We start from the raw sequence: 21,632 nt of genomic DNA, 5'->3' as shown, positions 1-21,632 counted from the left end.
AATCCTTGGTGGGGCAGAACTAAAAAATCAGGAAGAAAGAAAAAACTGTGTAGTAGGCCCGTGATGTTTAAAAATTTAAAATAAAAATACTACCATGACAGACTTCTGTTGCCAAATTAAAGCAACAGATTATAGCAGTAAGTGTGCTTCCAGATTGGTAACACAATTTGAGATTCTGTCTTGGTAGAAACAATTTGGTATCCAATGAAGAAGCAGTATATTTTAATCCTCAGGATTAATTACAGAAGGTTGGTATGTAAAAACAATGACAACAAAAATGACTAATCCTGAGAAGTGTATTCCCCAAGAAACTGCCCTTCAGGTTATAGGAAAAAAGAAGATATTCCAGGAGCAGCTTTTTACCTTTTACTGCTTCTTTCAGCATGTTTACCTCTTATAGTTTCTAAAAATCCACTTCAAAGGTAATTCTCAATATATGAACAGATATAAAACAGACATAAGAAATTCTGGGAATCCTAACCAGATTTTGATTAAAATGTATTCAAACAATTGTTGAAAAACACATCTACTGCTGTTTCCAAATCCCTGTTTTGACAACTTGCTAAAATCTTTGCTGAACTGGGTATTTCTTTCCAGAGTTAGCTATATCTTCCCATCTTAGTTATAACAAGTTTTAGAAGAGCAGTGGTAATACTTGCATGTCTAGTGTGGACTCCGGGGTAAATGCTATTTTGTTAAGAGTCATTTTATCATTAATTTTATTTAGCAAAGCTGTTTCTCTGCCCTGGAAGATATCCCAGACTAACGCTGATTTAGTAATCTCATTTCAGTGAATTTCATTTTTTTCTGAAAGGCTCTAGAAAAAGATTTACAATTCTATAATTATGTACGAATCTCATGAATGAAGATTTTTTTAATTTTTTTTTTCTAATGTCTTCTTCTATAACTGTGTTTTTATGTTGCAATCTTTGTGGAGCACTTATTTGTGGAAGAATATCAAGTTTATATAAAATGAGACTGATTCGAAAAGGGCCACCGTGTTGCATAATCCCCGGAGAGTCACTCACATTGTAGTTGTCAAATTGGAGCTCTGCAGCCATATGTAGCAGCAGTGAGTCAAAGGAGAACATAAAAGTTTGGGTCTACAGGGTATGTAGGTATATAAAATGAGTAGTTATGTAGAATTATGTATACTACAGCTTTAGGTTCTATAATTATATGCAATTTGTGTTTCTGAATAACAGTTAATGCTATCAGCTGATAAAATGTTATAAATATATAAATATTGTTATAAAACTCTAAGATGTGTTTTCTGTTTTATTTTGACAATAATTTTAGACACTTATAGAGTACAAAGTGATATTGACACATGCATACATTGTAGAATCATCAAATCAGAGTAATTACCATATCTACCACTTTAAACATTTATCATTTCTTTGTGATGGGAACATTTTAAATCCTCTCTTTTGGCTATTTTGAAATATATTAACTGTAGTCACCTTGCTGTGCTACAGAGCACCAGAACTTGGTCCTTCTTTCTAACTGTAACTTTCTATCTGTTGACCGATTCTCCCTTTTCCAGTTTGTACTACTCCTGTCCCCAGCCTCTGGTAACGACCATTCTACTATTTCTATGAGTTTGACATTTTTAGATTCCACATACAAGTGAGATTTACCAAATTTGACTTCCATTAGCAATATATTAAAGTATGTTTTTCTAGGCAGTTTTCCCATGCAGAATGTTAGCAGACTTTTTGTTCTTTGTAATCCTGAACTAAAAACAGTTAAGTCATTAAAATGTTATTTTTTATTCATTATGTTACTAAACCACTTGTACGTCCCTTTCTATAAACATCTGTCCATAAATCTTGCTTTGTTCTTTTTCTGCTGTTTTGTTCATCATAAGTAATCTTCATAGATTTAGAAAATTAGCTGTGTCCTTTCACACGTATTTGCAATGTTAGTATTTTTTAAAATCTTTTTTTGGAAAATTTTCTGGGTGAGAAATTTAAAATTTTCATGAGTCAAACTTTCATACTTCTGAGTTGAATTTTTTAACAAAAATGTCTTTGAAGTATGTGCTGTATCTACTTTGTACCGTAATTTTATGGTGTATATACATTTGAAAATGTACTCAGTGCTTCTAATTTTTATAAATGAAATTTTGATAAAGTTGCCTACCCAATACCATAGCCAAACATCTTAGAGAATGAACTACTTGTTATATTGAAATATGAAAAATGTTAGAGTTAAGAATACTTAACAAAATATATTCAAAAATTACAATACAGACATAGTGAGTGCTTGACACAGTGAAGTTTTCAGGCAAAATAAATGTAAACACTGGGAGGATGAGCTTTGTCATTTTTATGTGATGCCATAACAACTTTGAAGAGGGACTAAAATGCAACATCAGGACTTTTGATCTGGAAGATCTCTTTATTACAGAAATGAGAAACAACAAGAGTCAGAGGTGGTAAGTAACCTGACTAAAGTCACAAAGCTAGGGAGAAGGCAACACTAGTTGAAATGCAAAAACTCCTAGAAATTTAAACCTCTAACTTTTGCTAAACAAGAATCTTTGCAGAGGGTGAGTTCACAACTGATAATGAGGATATTACCAATTACTTCCTATCTGAATTGTCAGCCTCAAAGAAAAAGGCACAAGTTATGTTCAAGTACTAATTAGAATACTGGTATTATAACACTATAAGAAATCATAATAATTAGAATTGAGGCTTTCATTGAATTAAAAATTATTTAATCAAGGCATTCCTAAACATCAGAATGTATTGTAGGAGAGACATATATCTCCTTAGTATATATCTGGTCCTTCACTATTCCTTATATTTAGCTGCCAGCTATTTTTAACTAATTTGTATTTCGTCTTGATGACATGTTAGTAATTTGCAAATCTCAGTTGCTTGCAATTACGGGAGTAGAAAAAATATTCTAATGGAAAAAAACTGTGCAAATGAAAAACTTATTAACATACACATTAGTTATATGTTTCATAAATACTAAATTTAGTTTTCCATTCTTAAAAGACCAATAAAAATATTACACTTGTATTTGAAATGTTTGTTTTAAAGAAAGTCTTTGACATACCAATTTACTAAACCATAGCAATTATTTAAGGATTTTTATTCTTTCTAAGAGAAAGTCAAATTTAATATTTTTAGCTTCTAATTTTATTCCTAATTTTCATTTTAAATCTTTAATTTTATTCTTAAGAATTTTATTCTTAGAAAATCCTACATTTAACTTTTAAAATTCAAATTTCAACAAGATCTAAAGGGGAAATGGACCAAAGATTTTATCAATCAATTAGACTAACCTTCTAGGCTTGATTTCAAGATTACCTAGCCAATTAGGAACAAGCTAGAACTCAAAATCTGTTTTCTGAATTCGGTCTAGTATTCTCAACAAGTTTTCAACTCTGAGATAACTTTCACATTTCATGACCCAACTCCAGATGTTTTTTACACTATAAATTGCGTAAAGCTCCCTTCATGTGTTTTTGAAAATAAATGAAATATAAGCATTAAAAAAGAAAGCTGGTGAAGCAGATGGGCTCAGGTTTATTCCCTTGGCAGTGTTTTGGGTCTCTGTTGCACTGAGATAATATTTGCACCTTGCTTACTGCACTGGGTTACTGCAGAAACTCACAAGAATGAGTAGAACAGACTCTTTCCCTCCTCATTTCTCTCTTGCCCATCTTCCTTCCTCACTTAACTTCTTCCCTCTTTATATTTACTGAACTCTTATTATTATGTGAAGACACTGTCTTACACATGAGGACACACAGATCAACTTTTGAAGCTCACAATGTTGCTCTAATTTAAAAGGCTAAGACAAATGCACAAATAACTAATACAAGGCAGAATGTGATAGGCTTCATAGGTGAGATAGAAAATGGAGATTTATAGAGGGAATAAAAATACACTGATGCATCTTAAATAAATTTATTTTGAAGCTTAAAAGGCTACTAAGTAATCTCAATGAACAAATAGTTTTTACACCTGCATGAAAAAGTCTTCCCAATATCGGGAGGTATGAAGGAAACCACAGCTTTCCTTATTTAAAGTTGACATAATGTTTGCCATGGAAAATTCTCTGGAAACTGTGGTTTTCATGTACCTCCAGTTTCTTCCATTTCAAATAAATTAAATAAAAAAGGGAAAACACCTTACCTTTTAATGGAAAATTTTTATTTGGGTATATGGGTATTTATTGTAAACAGAAAAGCATTTGGATGTATCTCAGAATGTAAATAACCCAAAAATGAAAAAGATCTCTTCTTTGAAATGCTACCTAAAATAAAGTGACTATAAATAAACTGGTGGAGGTAGAATGCTAGTAGCAGTACTTTGAATATCAGATGGACTTAATTTCAATTATAGATTTTATCTGATGACATAAATCCACATATTCATATTTGTACTTATCAAAAACATTTAGCAAAATAACAGCAAACAGTCCATTTGGCTGTATCACGAGAATTGGGGCTAACTAAACATGGATATTTAGGTAGTGATGAAAAAAGTCTCAATTATATTATCAAATATAAACTCAACTAAGATTTTTTAAATAAATGCTGAAAATAGACAAATGAAATCTTTTCCATAGGAAGGAAAAAGAATTCTTTGGAAAAATACTCTCCAATATTCTGTCTACTGTATGTTCCTGTCTTTGAAGACATTTAATAAAAACACTGAAAACTGGTCATATATAAATACAGTTTTTTTGTGAAAATTAAAATTTTATGGGAAATTTAATTTGATACACACACACATACATACATACAGAATGTTATATGTGAACATTACTGTGAGGGAAGGAACATTAAGTGTAAGTGATAAAGCCAGTCATTTAATCATTCAAGCTAATCACTTATCAATCAACTGGAGGAAGTAATAGCTTTGTAGTAGGGGTATCTGCAGCTATTATTTCTTTTCTGCATGAAAAGTGAGAGGACATAATCACTGCTCTATTTCCCCTAAGCCACTGGGTCTGCTTTTAAGTGACAGTGATGTTAATCTTCAATTAAAACTTACATTAAATACCAATTACAGCCTTCCTTGGTTCCTATTTCCAGCAGTGGATCGATTTCTAAATGTATTTGGTCCCAGAGCACCATATGTATATGTCCTATAGTCAACTAAGGAAGAACGAACACATAAAAATAGGACAAAACAACAAGAACAAAAAGGAAAACTATGTAGAACTCCATGTACTTATAATGAATTCTAGGCAAGCAGAGGCCAAAAAATGAACCTTCCTCTAATTTGCCCTTTTAACACTGGAAAGCCATAGGGAGTTAATAATATGACAGAAGGAAATGAATGCTGGAGAAAATCAAAAGTGTAGAAATTAATTTAAAAAAATTTTCAGTAGTGATGTGACACAACTGAATCAAACAGTGCTTATACTTATTACTATTTTATGGGTCTTTGGATCTTACAGTTTGGTACTGGTGGCAGAGTTAGTGGGAAGGGAAGGTTAAAGGGGAGGATGGAGTTGAGTGCCAGAAAAGAAGCATAGAACAAGCTGAACAGATCAGGATGGGATGTTCCACTATGGCACTAGCTTCTAAAAGAAAAATGGAAAAGATTGACGACATATAGAAAGCAAAAATTCCAAAGACAAACTTGGCCCAGAATATTTTCCCTTGAGAGATTATGGGAATTATCCTTGCCATTACTGCAGAACATGAACCACTTTCATCAACTTGACTTGCTTGCAAGAATAGTAGATAGACAAGAAATAGGTAAGGTAATCCTTTCAGGACCATGCTCATCTACATACTACAAAGAGCTACACATACACAGGACAGTCATTTTAACTATTTGTGGTCACCCTACTCGGAAAACTTACCAAGAACTATGCATGAATCTATCCTTCTACTCATCTGAAGAATGGAATACTTCCTGTGAGCTTTAAAATATCACATCTTTATGTTTATTTTCCACCTCCCAGTTTCAAAAAGAACTTAAAAGATCACAGATATAACACATAGTAAGAAAATACCAAATAAAAGTAGGCAGAAAACATGAAAAGGGGGGAAAAGAAAGAGAAAATATTATCATAATGGAAGAGACTAATTAAAATGAGGAAATTGTATCCATCAAAGACACTATTAACAAAGTAAAAGGAAGCCAAATAACAAAGGCAGCTATTTCCAACCTGACAAAGAGCTCACTCCAAAATATCTAAAGAACTCGTATAAATCATTAAGAAAACAAACCAATTAAATATTTAAAAAAAGATAAAACCAGGCGCTACATAAAAGTGGATATGCAAATGACCAAACAAAATGATGACATGTCAATGGAAAAATGCAAATTAAATTTAGGTATTATACACGCACTAGGATGTCTAAAATGAAAAAGACTAGCAATACAACTTTAACTAGAACTCTCATATACTGAAGGTGGGAGTATACATTAGTGCATCTACTTTGGAAAACCAGCATATCTCCTAAATTGAACGTATGTGTGATACTATTATAGAATAAGAAATATATATTTGGTCTTTATCTTGGTTCCTAGCCAGAGCTCCCAAAACTCACGTTATTTCATAAGCAATAAGAAAATAAAGGTGAAAGGAACATATTTTATTATAATATTTTATTTTTGGTCCTAGTTTCTGAAATATGCCATATTCCATAACCAAGTAACTCCACTTTCAGGTATGTGCCCTAAAAGAAATGTGTAACAATGTTCATAGGGATAGATGTCAGCAAGATGGCAGAACAGGACTCTCTAGGGCTCATACCTGCACAGAAACATCAATTTGAATGACTATCTACACACAAAAAAATACCTTTACAAGAGCTAACGAAACCAGATGAGAGATTACAGCACCTAGGTATAGCACAGAAATTAGAAAAAAAGAAAAACAACAACAACAACAAAAACACATTGAAGAGAGTAGGAAGGACAGTTTTATACTACTCAAGTTACCCCTTCCCCAACCCCAGGCAGTAAACCATGGAGAGAAATACTTTCCATGTGGTGATGGGAGGGAGAGGTGAGCACTATACTTTGCCTGGGAACCCAAAACACAACCTACTCCAGTAAAACCAGCACCAAGAAGGTCGTCACAGGCCCCGACTCCAGGCTGGTAACCAAGGACTGAGACTCCAGGCCCACCCTAGTGCTAGGTTGAATGCCGCAGTCCCAGGCTCCAGGCCTACACAGCAAATTGTGTCTCTCGGTTGTCCCAAGACAGGCCAACATCAGTGGCCCCAGGTTCTGAACCGCCCTCAGCTGAGGATGATCCCCATGGCCCCAGGCTTCGGGCCAGCCCTAGGCTTCAGGGCAGCCCAGTATCAGGTCAGCACTTGTGGTCTCAGCATTTAGGTCAGCCCCTGTCAGACCTGTCAGGTCCCAGGCTCCAGGATAGTACATTCAGACTAAGCCTCCAAGCCTGTCTTGGCACCAGGCAGGATCCTACAAACCCCAGGGTCCAGGTCTGCCTCAGTGGCTTCAGGATATATACCGACCCCAGTACCGAAGTGGTTCTTACAACTCTAGGCTTCAAGCCCACCCAAGCACCAGGCCAGGCCCTGTGACTGAGGATACAGGCCTATGCAGCACTAAGTCTGCCCCTGTGGCCCCGGGTTTCAGACCTGCTCCATGACCAGGTTGGCACCCTTGGACACAAACACCAGGCAGGCACGTGCAGAGACAGGCTCCAAACCTGCCCAGTGCCAGGCTGAGTCCCCAAGGCCCCACGCTCCAGGTTGGCCTCTGATGCTCCATTCTCCAGCAGACCCAGGGTCCAGGTCTGTCCCAGAAAACTCCCACTGGACCAGCCAACACAGACCCAGGGTGCAGGACCGCTCCTGTCTACACAGGTCCCGGGCCTGCCCCTGAGGCTGTAGGATACAGGCCAGCTTTTGTGGACCTAGCCTCTAAAACAGCACTTGCACACCAGCTTCTAGGCTGGCACCAACAGACCGAGGCTCCAGGCTGTTCCCCATGGCCCCAGGATCCAGACCAGTCCCAGTGGCTCCAGACACCATGTCAGCACCAGCAATATTAAGTTTCGACCAGCACCGTGGACCTAGGCTCCATGCTGGCCTTGATACCCAGCCAGCCCCCATGGTACCAGGCTCTAGAGGATCCAGAGTCCAGGCCTACTCCAGCAGACCCAGGGTCCAGGTCCATCTCAGCATTCACCAGTGCCAGGCTGAATGCCATGGACTGAGGCCCCAAGACCACCCGTGTAGACTGTGTCTCCAGCCCAGCCTTTATTGATCCAGTCTTCAGGCCCTATCACATGAACCCAGATGCCAGGCCAGCCCATATGGTGACCTGGTCACCAGGCCGGCATGCCCAAAGATTCCAGCAGCAAGCCTGCCCTCAAATCATGCCAGACACTCTGCCCAAAATCTCTGGATGCACTGACTGGAGAACGGTTCTCCCAGACAAAGCAAGTATGCAAACACTAGAATAAGTCCCTACTTCTGTAAATATGCAAAAATCAACATAAGGCAACAAGAGACAGAAAAAACCTAAGAGATACAACACGACAAAAATAATGGGATAATATCCTAGTAGCTGACCCCTAATAAATGAAGATATAGAACAGAATGACAAAGAATTCAAATATTCAAATAATTATTTTCAGAAAGCTTAAGGAATTTCAAAATACATTCAGAAACAAATTAATAATATAAAGAAAACAATAAAATACCAAAATGAGAAAATTAACAGAATGACTAAAATTACATATATGAAAAATTTAAATTCTAGAGGTGAAAAATACACTGAAATAAAAATTTAATGGAGAACACCAACAGCAGAACTGATCAAACAGAAGAATCTGTGAACATGAAAATAGGTTATGTGAAAATATATAGTCAGAAGAGAGAAATTAGAAAAAAGAATGAAAAGGAATGAATTAAATTTATGAGATTTATGGAACAGCATCAAAAGAACAAATGTTTGAATTACAGGAGTTTGTGAAGGGGAAGAGAAAAACAAAGGGGCAGAATGCTTACATAAAGAAATAATATCAGAAAAAATTTCAAATTTGAGGAAAGACATAAATACCCAGGTACAGGGAGGTCAAAGGTCTCCAGTGAGATTCAATCCAAAGAAGACTACACTTAGACACATAATCAAACTGTCAAAAATCAAGGACAAAGACAGCATCTTGAAAGTAGCAAGAGAAAAGAAGCAAATAACATGTAAGAGAGTTCCAATAAGACTAGCAGCAAATTTCTCAGTAAAGGCCTACCTTATAAGCCAGGAAAGAGTGGGATGATATATTCAAAGTGTTGATGAAAAAAAATGCCAATGAAGAATACTGTACTTGGCAAAGTTGTCTTTCAGAAAAGAAGAGAAATAAAAACATTCCCAGACAAAAGCTGAGAGAGCTCATTACCACCAGACCTGTCTTACAAGAAGAAATGATAAAGGGAGTTCTTTGAGTTGAAAGAAAAGAACACTAATTTTAACACTAAAATAAATGACAAAACTCACTGCTAAAAGTACATAGTCAAATTTAGAATCTCCTAATACTCTAAATGGGGGTGTGCAAATCACTTGTATCTTTAATATGAAGATCAGAAGACAAAACTATTAAAATATTGTTAGCTACAACAGTTTGTTAAAGAATATACACGTAAATTATAACACCTAAATGCAGGAGGAGGAGGAATAAAAGTATACAGTTTTTAAATATGATCAAAGTAGCCACTAGGGAAAATCATTTAATGAGAAACACAGCAAGAGAGAAAGAAAGGAACAAAGGAGCTACAAAACAGCCAGAAAACAATTAGCAAAATGGCAGTAGTAAGTCCATATGCAGAAATAATTACCTTGAATGTCAATAGATTAAATTCTCCAATCATAACACATAGTGGCTGAATGAATTTAAAAAACAAAAAACAAAAACAAAAATAAGACCCAACCATATGCTGCCTATAAGAGACTTATTTTATCTGTAAGGACTCATAGACTAAAAGCGAAGAAATGAAGTAAGATATTCCATGCAAATGGAAATAAAAAGACAGTAGGAGTAACTATACTCAGTTAAAAAAGACAAAATCAAAAATTGTACAATGAGACCAGAGTCACTATATAGATAAAGGGGTCAATTCATCAGACGGATATAACACTTGTAAATATATAAGCATCCAGTATCAGAGGACCCAAATACATAAAGCAAATGTTAACGGAGCTGAAGGAAGAGACAGATTGTAATACAATAATAATAGAGGACTTCAATACTCCACTTTCAGCAATGCACAGGTCATCGAGGCAGAAAATCAATAAGGAAACATCAGGTTAATAGTATACCTTAGACTGTATAGACCTAATAGACATCTACAGAACATTTCATCCAACAGCAACAGAATACTTCTTCTCAAGAACACAAGGAACATTCTCCCAAACAGATGATATGCTGGGCCACAAAATTAGGCCTAACACATTTAAGAAAACAGAAGACATATTAAGTATCTTTTCTGACCACAATGATATTAAACTAAAAATCAATAACAGAAGGAATTTTTGAAAAATTCACACATCCATGAAAATTAAACATCATGCTCCTGTACAACTAATAAGTCAAAGAAGAAATTGAAGAGAAAATTAAAAAGTATCTTGAGACAAATGATAATGCAAACACAACATACCAAAACTTATGGGACACAGCAAAAACAGTTCTAAGAGAGAAGTTCATAGCAATAAATGCATACATCAAAAGAGATCTCAAATAAATAACTTCAAGTTACACCTCAAAGAATTAGAAAAATAAGAACAAACTAAACCCAAAGTGAGCAGAAGAAAATAAAGATTAGAGCAGAAACAGATGAGAGAGACGTGAGAAAAACAAGAGGAGATCAACAAAACCAAGAGTTGGTTTTTGAAGATATAAAACTATAAACCTATATAGCTAGACTACAAAAATGAGAAGACTCAAATAAATAAAATGAGAAATGAAAGAGGAAATATTACAACTGATGACCATAGAAACACTAATCATACTGACCAAAAGAACAGAATAGAGACACCTGAAATAAATCCACGCATTTATGGCCAACTGATTTTCATCAAAGCTGCCAAGAACATACAATAAGGAAAGGACAGTCTGTTCAATAAACAGTACTGGGACAACTGGATATCCACATGAAAAAAAAATTAGACCACTATGTCACACCATACACAAACCTCAACTCAAAATGGATTAAAGGCCAAAACGTAAGGCTGGAAACTGTAAAACTGCTAGAGGAAAACATAAGATATATGCAAACCATACATCTGGTAAGAGTCTAATATCAATCTTATTAAAGGAACCCAAGAAACTCACTAGCAAATTAGCCGGGCATGGTGGCGCATGACTGTAGTCCCAGCTACACTTGCTACACCAGAACTTGCACACCAGCCTCTAGGCTGGCACCTCCCACCTTGGGAGGCTGAGGTGGGAGGATCGCTTGAACTCGGGAGGTAGAGGTGGCAGTGAGCTGAGATCCTGCCACTGCACTCCAGTGTGGGTGACAGAGCGAGATCCTGTCTCAAATAAAACATAGAAACAAACAAAAGGAAACTCACTAGCAAGTAAACAACCCAATTAAAAATAGGCAAAGGACCTAAACAGACATTTCCCAAAAGGACACATTCAAACGGCCAACAGATATATAAAAAATGTTCAATATCACTAATCATTAGGGAAATGCAAATTAAAACCGTAACGAGATATCACCTCTAACCCATAAGAATGGCTACTACAAAAAAGCCTAAAGATAACAAGTGATGGAGAGGATGTGGAGAAAAGGGAACTCTTATACATTGTTGGATGGCAATGTAAATTAATACCACCATTATGAGGAATAGTATGGAGGTTCTAAAACAAAATGAAAAATAGAACTACCATAAGATTCAGCAATTCCATTACTGGGTATGGGTATATATCCAAAGGAAAGGAAATCAGTATGCTAAGGACATATATGGCAAAAAACCAATTATTGTATTTTGACATCTCAAAAAATAAAAACAAATATATTGTGCCATATTTTGATTTAATTAGCACTATTCTGTTCAACGTGTCATTATTTTGTCTAAGACCTGAGCACACATTTAAAACCATTTTAGGGATAACATTTTTCATTTTTTTTTTTTTTTTCTCTGAGACAGGGTCTCACTCTTGCCCATGCTGGAGTGCAGTGGCATGATCACAGCTCACTACAACCTCCACCTTCCAGGCTCATGTGGTTCTCCCAGTGTAGCCTCCTGAGTAGTTGAGACTACAGCTGTGTGTCACCATGCCCAGCTTATTTTTTGGATGTTTTTGTAGAGATAGGGTTTCACCAAGTTGCCCAGGCTAGTCTTGAACTCCGGGGCTCAAGTGATCCATCTGTCTTGGCCTCCCAAAGCACTGGGACTACAGGGTGAGCCGCCATGCCCAGCCTTTCTTCTCTTTATGAATGAATTATATAGAATAAAAATACTCACTGCAAAACTGCACTCATAACTTTGGTGTTGCTTTTCTGACAAAGACAGCTTTTCTAGCCATAAAATGCCTTAAAATTTAATATGACTAACATCAATTAATTGTAGAGAAATGAGTGAGAGTCTACATAAATGTAGCATCAGAGTGCTTTTTTTCTTAAGGCTGGGAAAAAACCTTAACATCATCCAGTTCAAAGAACTTTTTAATCTTCAGATTTTCCCTGAAAAATATTCTCAACACTTTGAGACTCTAATATTCAACAATTTCTCACATCTCACATAATTACAACAATTTCTCACATAATTCTCAATATTCTCAATATTCGCAATATTCTCAACACTTTGAAACTCTAATATTCAACAATTTCTCACATCTCACATAATTACTGCCATGAACTACTAATGATGCCAGTGGACTGATGATTCCTCCTTAGGAACGATGGAGAGGAAGAAAAGTAAAAACTATGCAGTATCTGTTCCAAACATCCTTTCACAATACGTAATTCTAAATCTAAATCTAATCAGGACCTCAAATAAAAGTCATTGGTAAGAATTCAGTTTTTGAAGTTATACTATATTTAAAAATTCAAAAAGAGTAAGCCCATTACATGGATTCCACAGCAATCCTGAAGAAAAGTAAACATAGGAAAATCCAGTATTTGTCATAATTAATGAGGAAAATCAGATTATGCAGAAGAATGAATAAGAATGAAATCCAGATCAAAACCCTGCTATGTTAATGAAACCTTAAGAAGACATGGATTTACATTCTTGTTTAGTTAACTTGCTGATTGTGTTAATCTGGACAAACTAACCTCCATGAGCTCTAGTTTCCTACTTTATACAATGGGGATGTAATTCTCTCCCAATCAAAACTCCTCCACTAGAGTTGCGAATATTAAAAATTAAATGTGATTGTATCTAACATACTTTAGTGAAAACTATAAGCACTGAATATAGGTTGTATTTAATAAATAATTCAATTTTAAAGACAAATCAATATGTAATATAAGAATGAGTATTTTTAAATCTTTTTCTTACACACACCTTATAGTTAGTTACAAGTATAAATTCTCTTTTAGAAATAAACTCTGTGGTTAAGATTATCTCTTATATTTTCTTGTACTGTCCTTAGCAATGCTTTTAAGATACCAAAGGATGGCCGGGCGCGGTGGCTCACGCCTGTAATCCCAGCACTTTGGGAGGCCGAGGCGGGTGGATCATGAGGTCAGGAGATCGAGACCATCCTGGCTAACAAGGTGAAACCCCGTCTATACTAAAAATACAAAAAATTAGCCGGGCACGGTGGCGGGCGCCTGTAGTCCCAGCTACTCGGGAGGCTGAGGCAGGAGAATGGCGTGAACCCGGGAAGCGGAGCTTGCAGTGAGCCGAGATTGCGCCACTGCAATCCGCAGTCCGGCCTGGGCGACAGAGCGAGACTCCGTCTCAAAAAAAAAAAAAAAAAAAAAAAAAAGATACCAAAGGATGACTTGGCTTCTTAACTGCCAGCCCCAATCCCCACAGTAGCTGTTTTCATTTATTTAATATACAACACTTAGTGTGGAGTAAAATTTGTAACAAAAGGTTCTGAGAAAAATAAAAATAAAAAATAAAAATAAAAAAAATAAAAAATAAAAATAAAAGGGCCATGATTTTGGAAATCATGGCCCTAAATCATCTAGCATGCTGATTTGCACATAAACATCGACTGAATGAGTATTTAGCTACCAATCTGTTATAGCAAAATTTCCAACAATTTGAGAGATCTTAACATTACACAAACTTTTATTCATTTTACTCAAGTAGTTATGATTAGAAACTTTTATATAATTATCATAGTATATTTTAAAGTATGCTCTGATTTATTACATTTGAATTATCCCATCACTTTTTGAGAATAGTGATTCTCAAAAGCAAAACTTTATGGAGGTTTAGAAAAAAGAGAAAAACTTAAGAGCTTGGAGAAGGGACCTTTAATGGTGATCTCATTGAAGTATTTTATTGATTAAAAACATGACATCCAGAGTCAGTGTATGTCAAATTTTTCTATTCAAGTCCCCTGAAGGCAGAGAGAATGATAATGTATCCTCTGGGAACACACAGTTCAAGGTTACACTCTAGATAACCCAAAATTTGGTAGTCTTATAGTTTATCATAAAAATTAATGCAAAATTTAGATTTCTGGTTTCTTTTCTTCTAAAATTCAGATGTTGAGACTTGTGAATTTCTGGTTCCTATCTGGAGAGTTAGAGAACCAGAAAGAGCAAAAAACAAAAAAGATGGACAAATAGCAAATTCACACTGAACCAGTCAGAGTGAACATCTTATAGTCAATTTGGAGTGGGATGAGATGGGGCATTATATACAGAGGACCAAAGATAAGAATTATGGCAGACTTTTACAAAATTAAAGAAGCTAGATGACAAAGTGCAGAAAGACAAGAGCTATCAACACAGAATTCTATACTTAGTAAAAATATTTTTTAAAATAAAGGACAAACAAAAAACTTCCTTGCCAAAAAAATTGTAGAAACTTACTGCCAGCAGATCTACTCTTCAAGATATTTTAAGAGTCTTCAGGAAAAACAAATACACCAGCAGAAAACTTGGATTTAAACAAGGAAATAAAGAGCAATCAAAACTGAATAAGTGAAAGTATAAAAATGATTTATTTTTATGTTTAATTATGTCAAAACTGAACTGAATGTTCAAATGTTCAAAGCAAAAATAGAAAAATCTATTATATACTTATAGCATATGTAAAATGTTTAACAACAATGGCACAATAGAAGGCATAAAGTAATTGGCATTTACTGTTCTTAGATCATTACACTGCATATAAAACAGCATAAAATTATGTGAAAGCAGATTTTGGTTAATTAAAGGTGTATATTATGAACTGTAGAGTGAACACTAAAAAACAATAATAAAATATGTACATGTAATGAATAGGTCAATAGAAGAGATAAGATGCTCATTTAACTCACAGACCAAAAAAGAAGAAAAACAAAGCAAAAAAGATATGAAGCAAATAGAAAACAACTGCTAACTGGTAGATTTTAATTCAACCACATCAATAATCACATTGAATAGAAATGGCTTAAACATACCACTTAAAAGAGAGATTATCAGATTGGATAAAAAGCATGATCCAAGTATATGCTATTGATTTTTTAAAAATCACCTTAAGTACACAGACATATGGAGGTTAAAAGTAAAATGATGGAGAAAGATATTGAATGTAAACACTAACCAAAAGAAAGCTAAAGCAGTGATATAAATTTCAGACAAGATAGACTTCAGCACAATAAATATTATCGGGGTTAAGGAGGGCCATTACATAATTATAAAGGATCAGCGCCCCAAGAACATAAATCCTAAAAGTTTACATATCTAACATACATGTTTCAAAATGCATATGGCAAAAAGTGACAAAGCTGAAAGATCAAATAGGCAAACTGACATTCATAGATGGAGGTTCCAACGTACCTCTTAATAAAGTAGGCAGAAAAAAAAACAGTAAAAATATGGATAATCTGAATACCATCAACCAATTTGACTTAACATTTACAGATATCCCAAAAGAATATATGTTGTCTTCAAGTGCACATGAAATATTTACCAAGATATGCTATACTCTGGACTATAACAAATAGTACAACATTGAAAAGAATAGAAATCACAAAGTTTATGTTCATGGATCATAAAGGAATTAAATAAAAAAAATTGCAAAAAGATACTGGAAAACCCCTAACGGTCTGGAAATTAAGCAACACATTTCGAATTAAACCATGAATCAAAGAGGGTTCAAAGGAAATTTAAAACATTTTAAACTAAGAAAAGAAAATACAGCATAACAAAATTTATGAGATGCAGCTAAAGTACTGCTTACAGATAAATGCATAGCATTAAATGCTTTTATTAGAAAAGGTCTAAAACCAGTAATTTAAGCTTCCACATTAAGAAACCAGAAAAAAACACAAATCAAGAAGATCTAAAGAATGTAGAATGGAGCAAAAATCAATGAAAGTAAAAACAAACGCAATACAGAAAAATCAATTAATACAAAATCTGTTCTCAAGTGGAGCAACATGGGTACAAATTATAAAAGGGAATTAGTAAGGAAGAAGCAGGAGTAGAAAATCCAAAGAGTGGAAGATGTAGAAAAATGTAATGATGATGCCACCTAACACTGGTGTGTTCTTAATCACCTAATTTAATTCTTTTTGGGTTCCAGTTTCCTCATTTGTAAAAAGAGGGTGAAAAAACATCTTTCAAAGAGTAAATGTACAGATTAAATGAGATATTCATAAAAAATATTTGGAAAAGTAATAAAGCATCTTAGTTTTTTTTTTTTTTATACTTTAAGTTTTAGGGTACATGTGCACATTGTGCAGGTTACTTACATATGTATACACGTGCCATGCTGGTGCGCTGCACCCACTAACTCGTCATCTAGCATTAGGTATATCTCCCAATGCTATCCCTCCCCCCTCCCCCCACCCCACCACAGTCCCCAGAGTGTGATATTCCCCTTCCTGTGTCCATGTGATCTCATTGTTCAATTCCCACCTATGAGTGAGAATATGCGGTGTTTGGTTTTTTGTTCTTGCGATAGTTTACTGAGAATGATGATTTCCAATTTCATCCATGTCCCTACAAAGGACATGAACTCATCATTTTTTATGGCTGCATAGTATTCCATGGTGTATATGTGCCACATTTTCTTAATCCAGTCTATCATTGTTGGACATTTGGGTTGGTTCCAAGTCTTTGCTATTGCGAATAACGCCACAATAAACATACGTGTGCATGTGTCTTTATAGCAGCATGATTTATAGTCATTTGGGTATATACCCAGTAATGGGATGGCTGGGTCAAATGGTATTTCTAGTTCTAGATCCCTGAGGAATCGCCACACTGACTTCCACAATGGTTGAACTAAGTTTACAGTCCCACCAACAGTGTAAGTGTTCCTATTTCTCCACATCCTCTCCAGCACCTGTTGTTTCCTGACTTTTTAATGATTGCCATTCTAACTGGTGTGAGATGGTATCTCATAGTGGTTTTGATTTGCATTTCTCTGATGGCCAGTGATGATGAGCATTTTTTCATGTGTTTTTTGGCTGCATAAATGTCTTCTTTTGAGAAGTGTCTGTTCATGTCCTTCGCCCACTTTTTGATGGGGTTGTTTGTTTTTTTCTTGTCAATTTGTTTGAGTTCATTGTAGATTCTGGATATTAGCCCTTTGTCAGATGAGTAGGTTGCGAAAATTTTCTCCCATTTTGCAGGTTGCCTGTTCACTCTGATGGTAGTTTCTTTTGCTGTGCAGAAGCTCTTTAGTTTAATTAGATCCCATTTGTCAATTTTGTCTTTTGTTGCCATTGCTTTTGGTGTTTTGGATATGAAGTCCTTGCCCATGCCTATGTCCTGAATGGTAATGCCTAGGTTTTCTTCTAGGGTTTTTATGGTTTTAGGTCTAACGTTTAAATCTTTAATCCATCTTGAATTGATTTTTGTATAAGGTGTAAAGAAGGGATCCAGTTTCAGCTTTCTACATATGGCTAGCCAGTTTTCCCAGCACCATTTATTAAATAGGGAATCCTTTCCCCATTGCTTGTTTTTCTCAGGTTTGTCAAAGATCAGACAGTTATAGGTATGCGGCGTTATTTCTGAGGGCTCTGTTCTGTTCCATTGATCTACATCTCTGTTTTGGTACCAGTACCATGCTGTTTTGGTTACTGTAGCCTTGTAGTATAGTTTGAAGTCAGGTAGTGTGATGCCTCCAGCTTTGTTCTTTTGGCTTAGGATTGACTTGGCGATGGGGGCTCTTTTTTGGTTCCATATGAACTTTAAAGTAGTTTTTTCCAATTCTGTGAAGAAAGTCATTGGTAGCTTGATGGGGATGGCATTGAATCTGTAAATTACCTTGGGCAGTATGGCCATTTTCACGATATTGATTCTTCCTACCCATGAGCATGGAATGTTCTTCCATTTGTTTGTATCCTCTTTTATTTCCTTGAGCAGTGGTTTGTAGTTCTCCTTGAAGAGGTCCTTCACATCCCTTGTAAGTTGGATGCCTAGGTATTTTATTCTCTTTGAAGCAAGTGTGAATGGGAGTGCACTCATGATTTGGCTCTCTGGTTGTCTGTTGTTGGTGTATAAGAATGCTTGTGATTTTTGTACATTGATTTTGTATCCTGAGACTTTGCTGAAGTTGCTTATCAGCTTAAGGAGATTTTGGGCTGAGACAATGGGGTTTTCTAGATATACAATCATGTCGTCTGCAAACAGGGACAATTTGACTTCCTCTTTTCCTAATTGAATACCCTTTATTTCCTTCTCCTGCCTCATTGCCCTGGCCAGAACTTCCAACACTATGTTGAATAGGAGTGGTGAGAGAGGGCATCCCTGTCTTGTGCCAGTTTTCAAAGGGAATGCTTCCAGTTTTTGCCCATTCAGTATGATATTGGCTGTGGGTTTGTCATAGATAGCTCTTATTATTTTGAAATACATCCCATCAATACCTAATTTATTGAGAGTTTTTAGCATGAAGGGTTGTTGAATTTTGTCAAAGGCTTTTTCTGCATCTATTGAGATAATCATGTGGTTTTTGTCTTTGGCTCTGTTTATATGCTGGATTACATTTATTGATTTGCGTATATTGAACCAGCCTTGCATCCCAGGGATGAAGCCCACTTGATCATGGTGGATAAGCTTTTTGATGTGCTGCTGGATTCGTTTTGCCAGTATTTTATTGAGGATTTTTGCATCAATGTTCATCAAGGATATTGGTCTAAAATTCTCTTTTTTTGTTGTGTCTCTGCCAGGCTTTGGTATCAGAATGATGCTGGCCTCATAAAATGAGTTAGGGAGGATTCCCTCTTTTTCTATTGATTGGAATAGTTTCAGAAGGAATGGTACCAGTTCCTCCTTGTACCTCTGGTAGAATTCGGCTGTGAGTCCATCTGGTCCTGGACTCTTTTTGGTTGGTAAGCTATTGATTATTGCCACAATTTCAGCTCCTGTTATTGGTCTACTAAGAGATTCAACTTCTTCCTGGTTTAGTCTTGGGAGAGTGTATGTGTCGAGGAATTTATCCATTTCTTCTAGATTTTCTAATTTATTTGCGTAGAGGTGTTTGTAGTATTCTCTGATGGTAGTTTGTATTTCTGTGGGATCGGTGGTGATATCCCCTTTATCATTTTTTATTGTGTCTATTTGATTCTTCTCTCTTTTTTTCTTTATTAGTCTTGCTAGCGGTCTATCAATTTTGTTGATCCTTTCAAAAAACCAGCTCCTGGATTCACTGATTTTTTGAAGGGTTTTTTGTGTCTCTATTTCCTTGAGTTCTGCTCTGATTTTAGTTATTTCTTGCCTTCTGCTAGCTTTTGAATGTTTGCTCTTGCTTTTCTAGTTCTTTTAATTGTGATGTTAGGGTGTCAATTTTGGATCTTTCCTGCTTTCTCTTGTCAGCATTTAGTGCTATAAATTTCCCTCTACACACTGCTTTGAATGTGTCCCAGAGATTCTGGTATGTTGTGTCTTTGTTCTCGTTGGTTTCAAAGAACATCTTTATTTCTGCCTTCATTTCGTTGTGTACCCAGCAGTCATTCAGGAGCAGGTTGTTCAGCTTCCATGTAGTTGAGCGGCTTTGAGTGAGATTCTTAATCCCGAGTTCTAGTTTGATTGCACTGCAGTCTGAGAGACAGTTTGTTATAATTTCTGTTCTTTTACATTTGCTGAGGAGAGCTTTACTTCCAAGTATGTGGTCAATTTTGGAATAGGTGTGGTGTGGTGCTGAAAAAAATGTATATTCTGTTGATTTGGGGTGGAGAGTTCTGTAGATGTCTATTAGGTCCGCTTGGTGCAGAGCTGAGTTCAATTCCTGGGTATCCTTGTTGACTTTCTGTCTCGTTGATCTGTCTAATGTTGACAGTGGGGTGTTAAAGTCTCCCATTATTATTGTATGGGAGTCTAAGTCTCTTTGTAGGTCACTCAGGACTTGCTTTATGAATCTGGGTGCATATATATTTAGGATAGTTAGCTCTTCTTGTTGAATGCATCTTAGTTTTAAGTAGTATGATCAGCAGACTAATTTTTATATAATACATGAAATGTCATATTAAGTTCAACATACCTTTAAGGACCTCGAAGGTATGATATTACAGCAAAACAAAATGTATATGTTAGTATAAATTTTTTTTGTGGTGGCAGTAATGGAGTTCAGTTAGGAAAACTAATTACAAACTAATAGCATGACTTCTTGGTAAGTTTTCTCTTCAAGAAAAAAGTAAGCAATATAGATGAGAAACTTTTCATAAGACAAATATAATCTATTGCAGATATACCTTTTTGAAGATTTTTTCAAAGTTGATATCATCACCAAGAGCAGATTTAGTTACTATGTCAGGTTTCAATTCCTGTGAAAGAATAAAACAAATTAATTTTAGTTATGTGTCTATTTTTATCACTATTATTAAGTTCCTTTCCGTATCTTAAGAAACTTAATATTAAATAACATCTTAATTTTGAGAAAAGAATTAACTCCCATAAAATATGACAGAGTTGAAAGGAAACATCAGGAATATAACGGAATGTGAATTAGTGTAATGTGCCTATTAAAAGAAAAATATTTTCAAATGGAATCAAAGCAAAACCTAACTCTATACTGTATATAATAAAGACTCACAAAGAACAGTTATTTAAAAAGCTTCAAAGATATGCCAGGCAAACAGGAAAAATTAGAAAGCAGGTGCTGAGACTGTGTTTCAGACAAAGCTGAGGCAAAGAAAACAAAATGAAGACAAAGAAGATAACATTTATGACTATGCATCAAATAAAACACAACTATTACATAAAGCAGAAACTTCATGAAATAAAGGAAATAGAAATACTATTTATTAGCTCAAGACTCTGACACACAACTTCCAGTCAAGAAAGAACAAAATCGGGAAATAAAATTACAAGATCTTAACAACAATTGTATCTTCTTCTCAAGTACACATGGAATATTGATAAAAATTATCACATATTAAGTCAAAGAAAGTACAGTAACAGTAGGCTCCATCAAGTAAAATATTATTAGCAACAATCTCCGGTCACAATGAAAAAGTAGAAATGAAAGAAAATCAACTAATCAATAAAAGAAAAATTAAAAAAGGCCCTTCCACCTGGAATTAAAACAATAAATAAATAAAACTAC

General features: G+C 35.3%; 1 protein-coding gene across 2 annotated transcripts in view; it reads right to left on the bottom strand.

Moving 5' to 3' along the window:
- Positions 1-21,632, bottom strand: part of SRFBP1 (serum response factor binding protein 1) — a 116,961-nt gene that overhangs the window by 63,487 nt on the left and 31,842 nt on the right. For both annotated transcript variants that reach the window (XM_017009111.3, NM_152546.3), the window contains exon 4: positions 20,779-20,850. In XM_017009111.3, the coding sequence (XP_016864600.2) occupies positions 20,779-20,850 (72 nt within the window). The remainder of the gene's footprint in view (positions 1-20,778; positions 20,851-21,632) is intronic.

This window comes from Homo sapiens, chromosome 5 (assembly GCF_000001405.40).
Source record: "Homo sapiens chromosome 5, GRCh38.p14 Primary Assembly".
Lineage (NCBI taxonomy): Eukaryota > Metazoa > Chordata > Mammalia > Primates > Hominidae > Homo > Homo sapiens.
The sequence above is the reverse complement of the archived record's forward strand: the minus strand, read 5'-3'. Positions and strand labels throughout refer to the sequence as shown.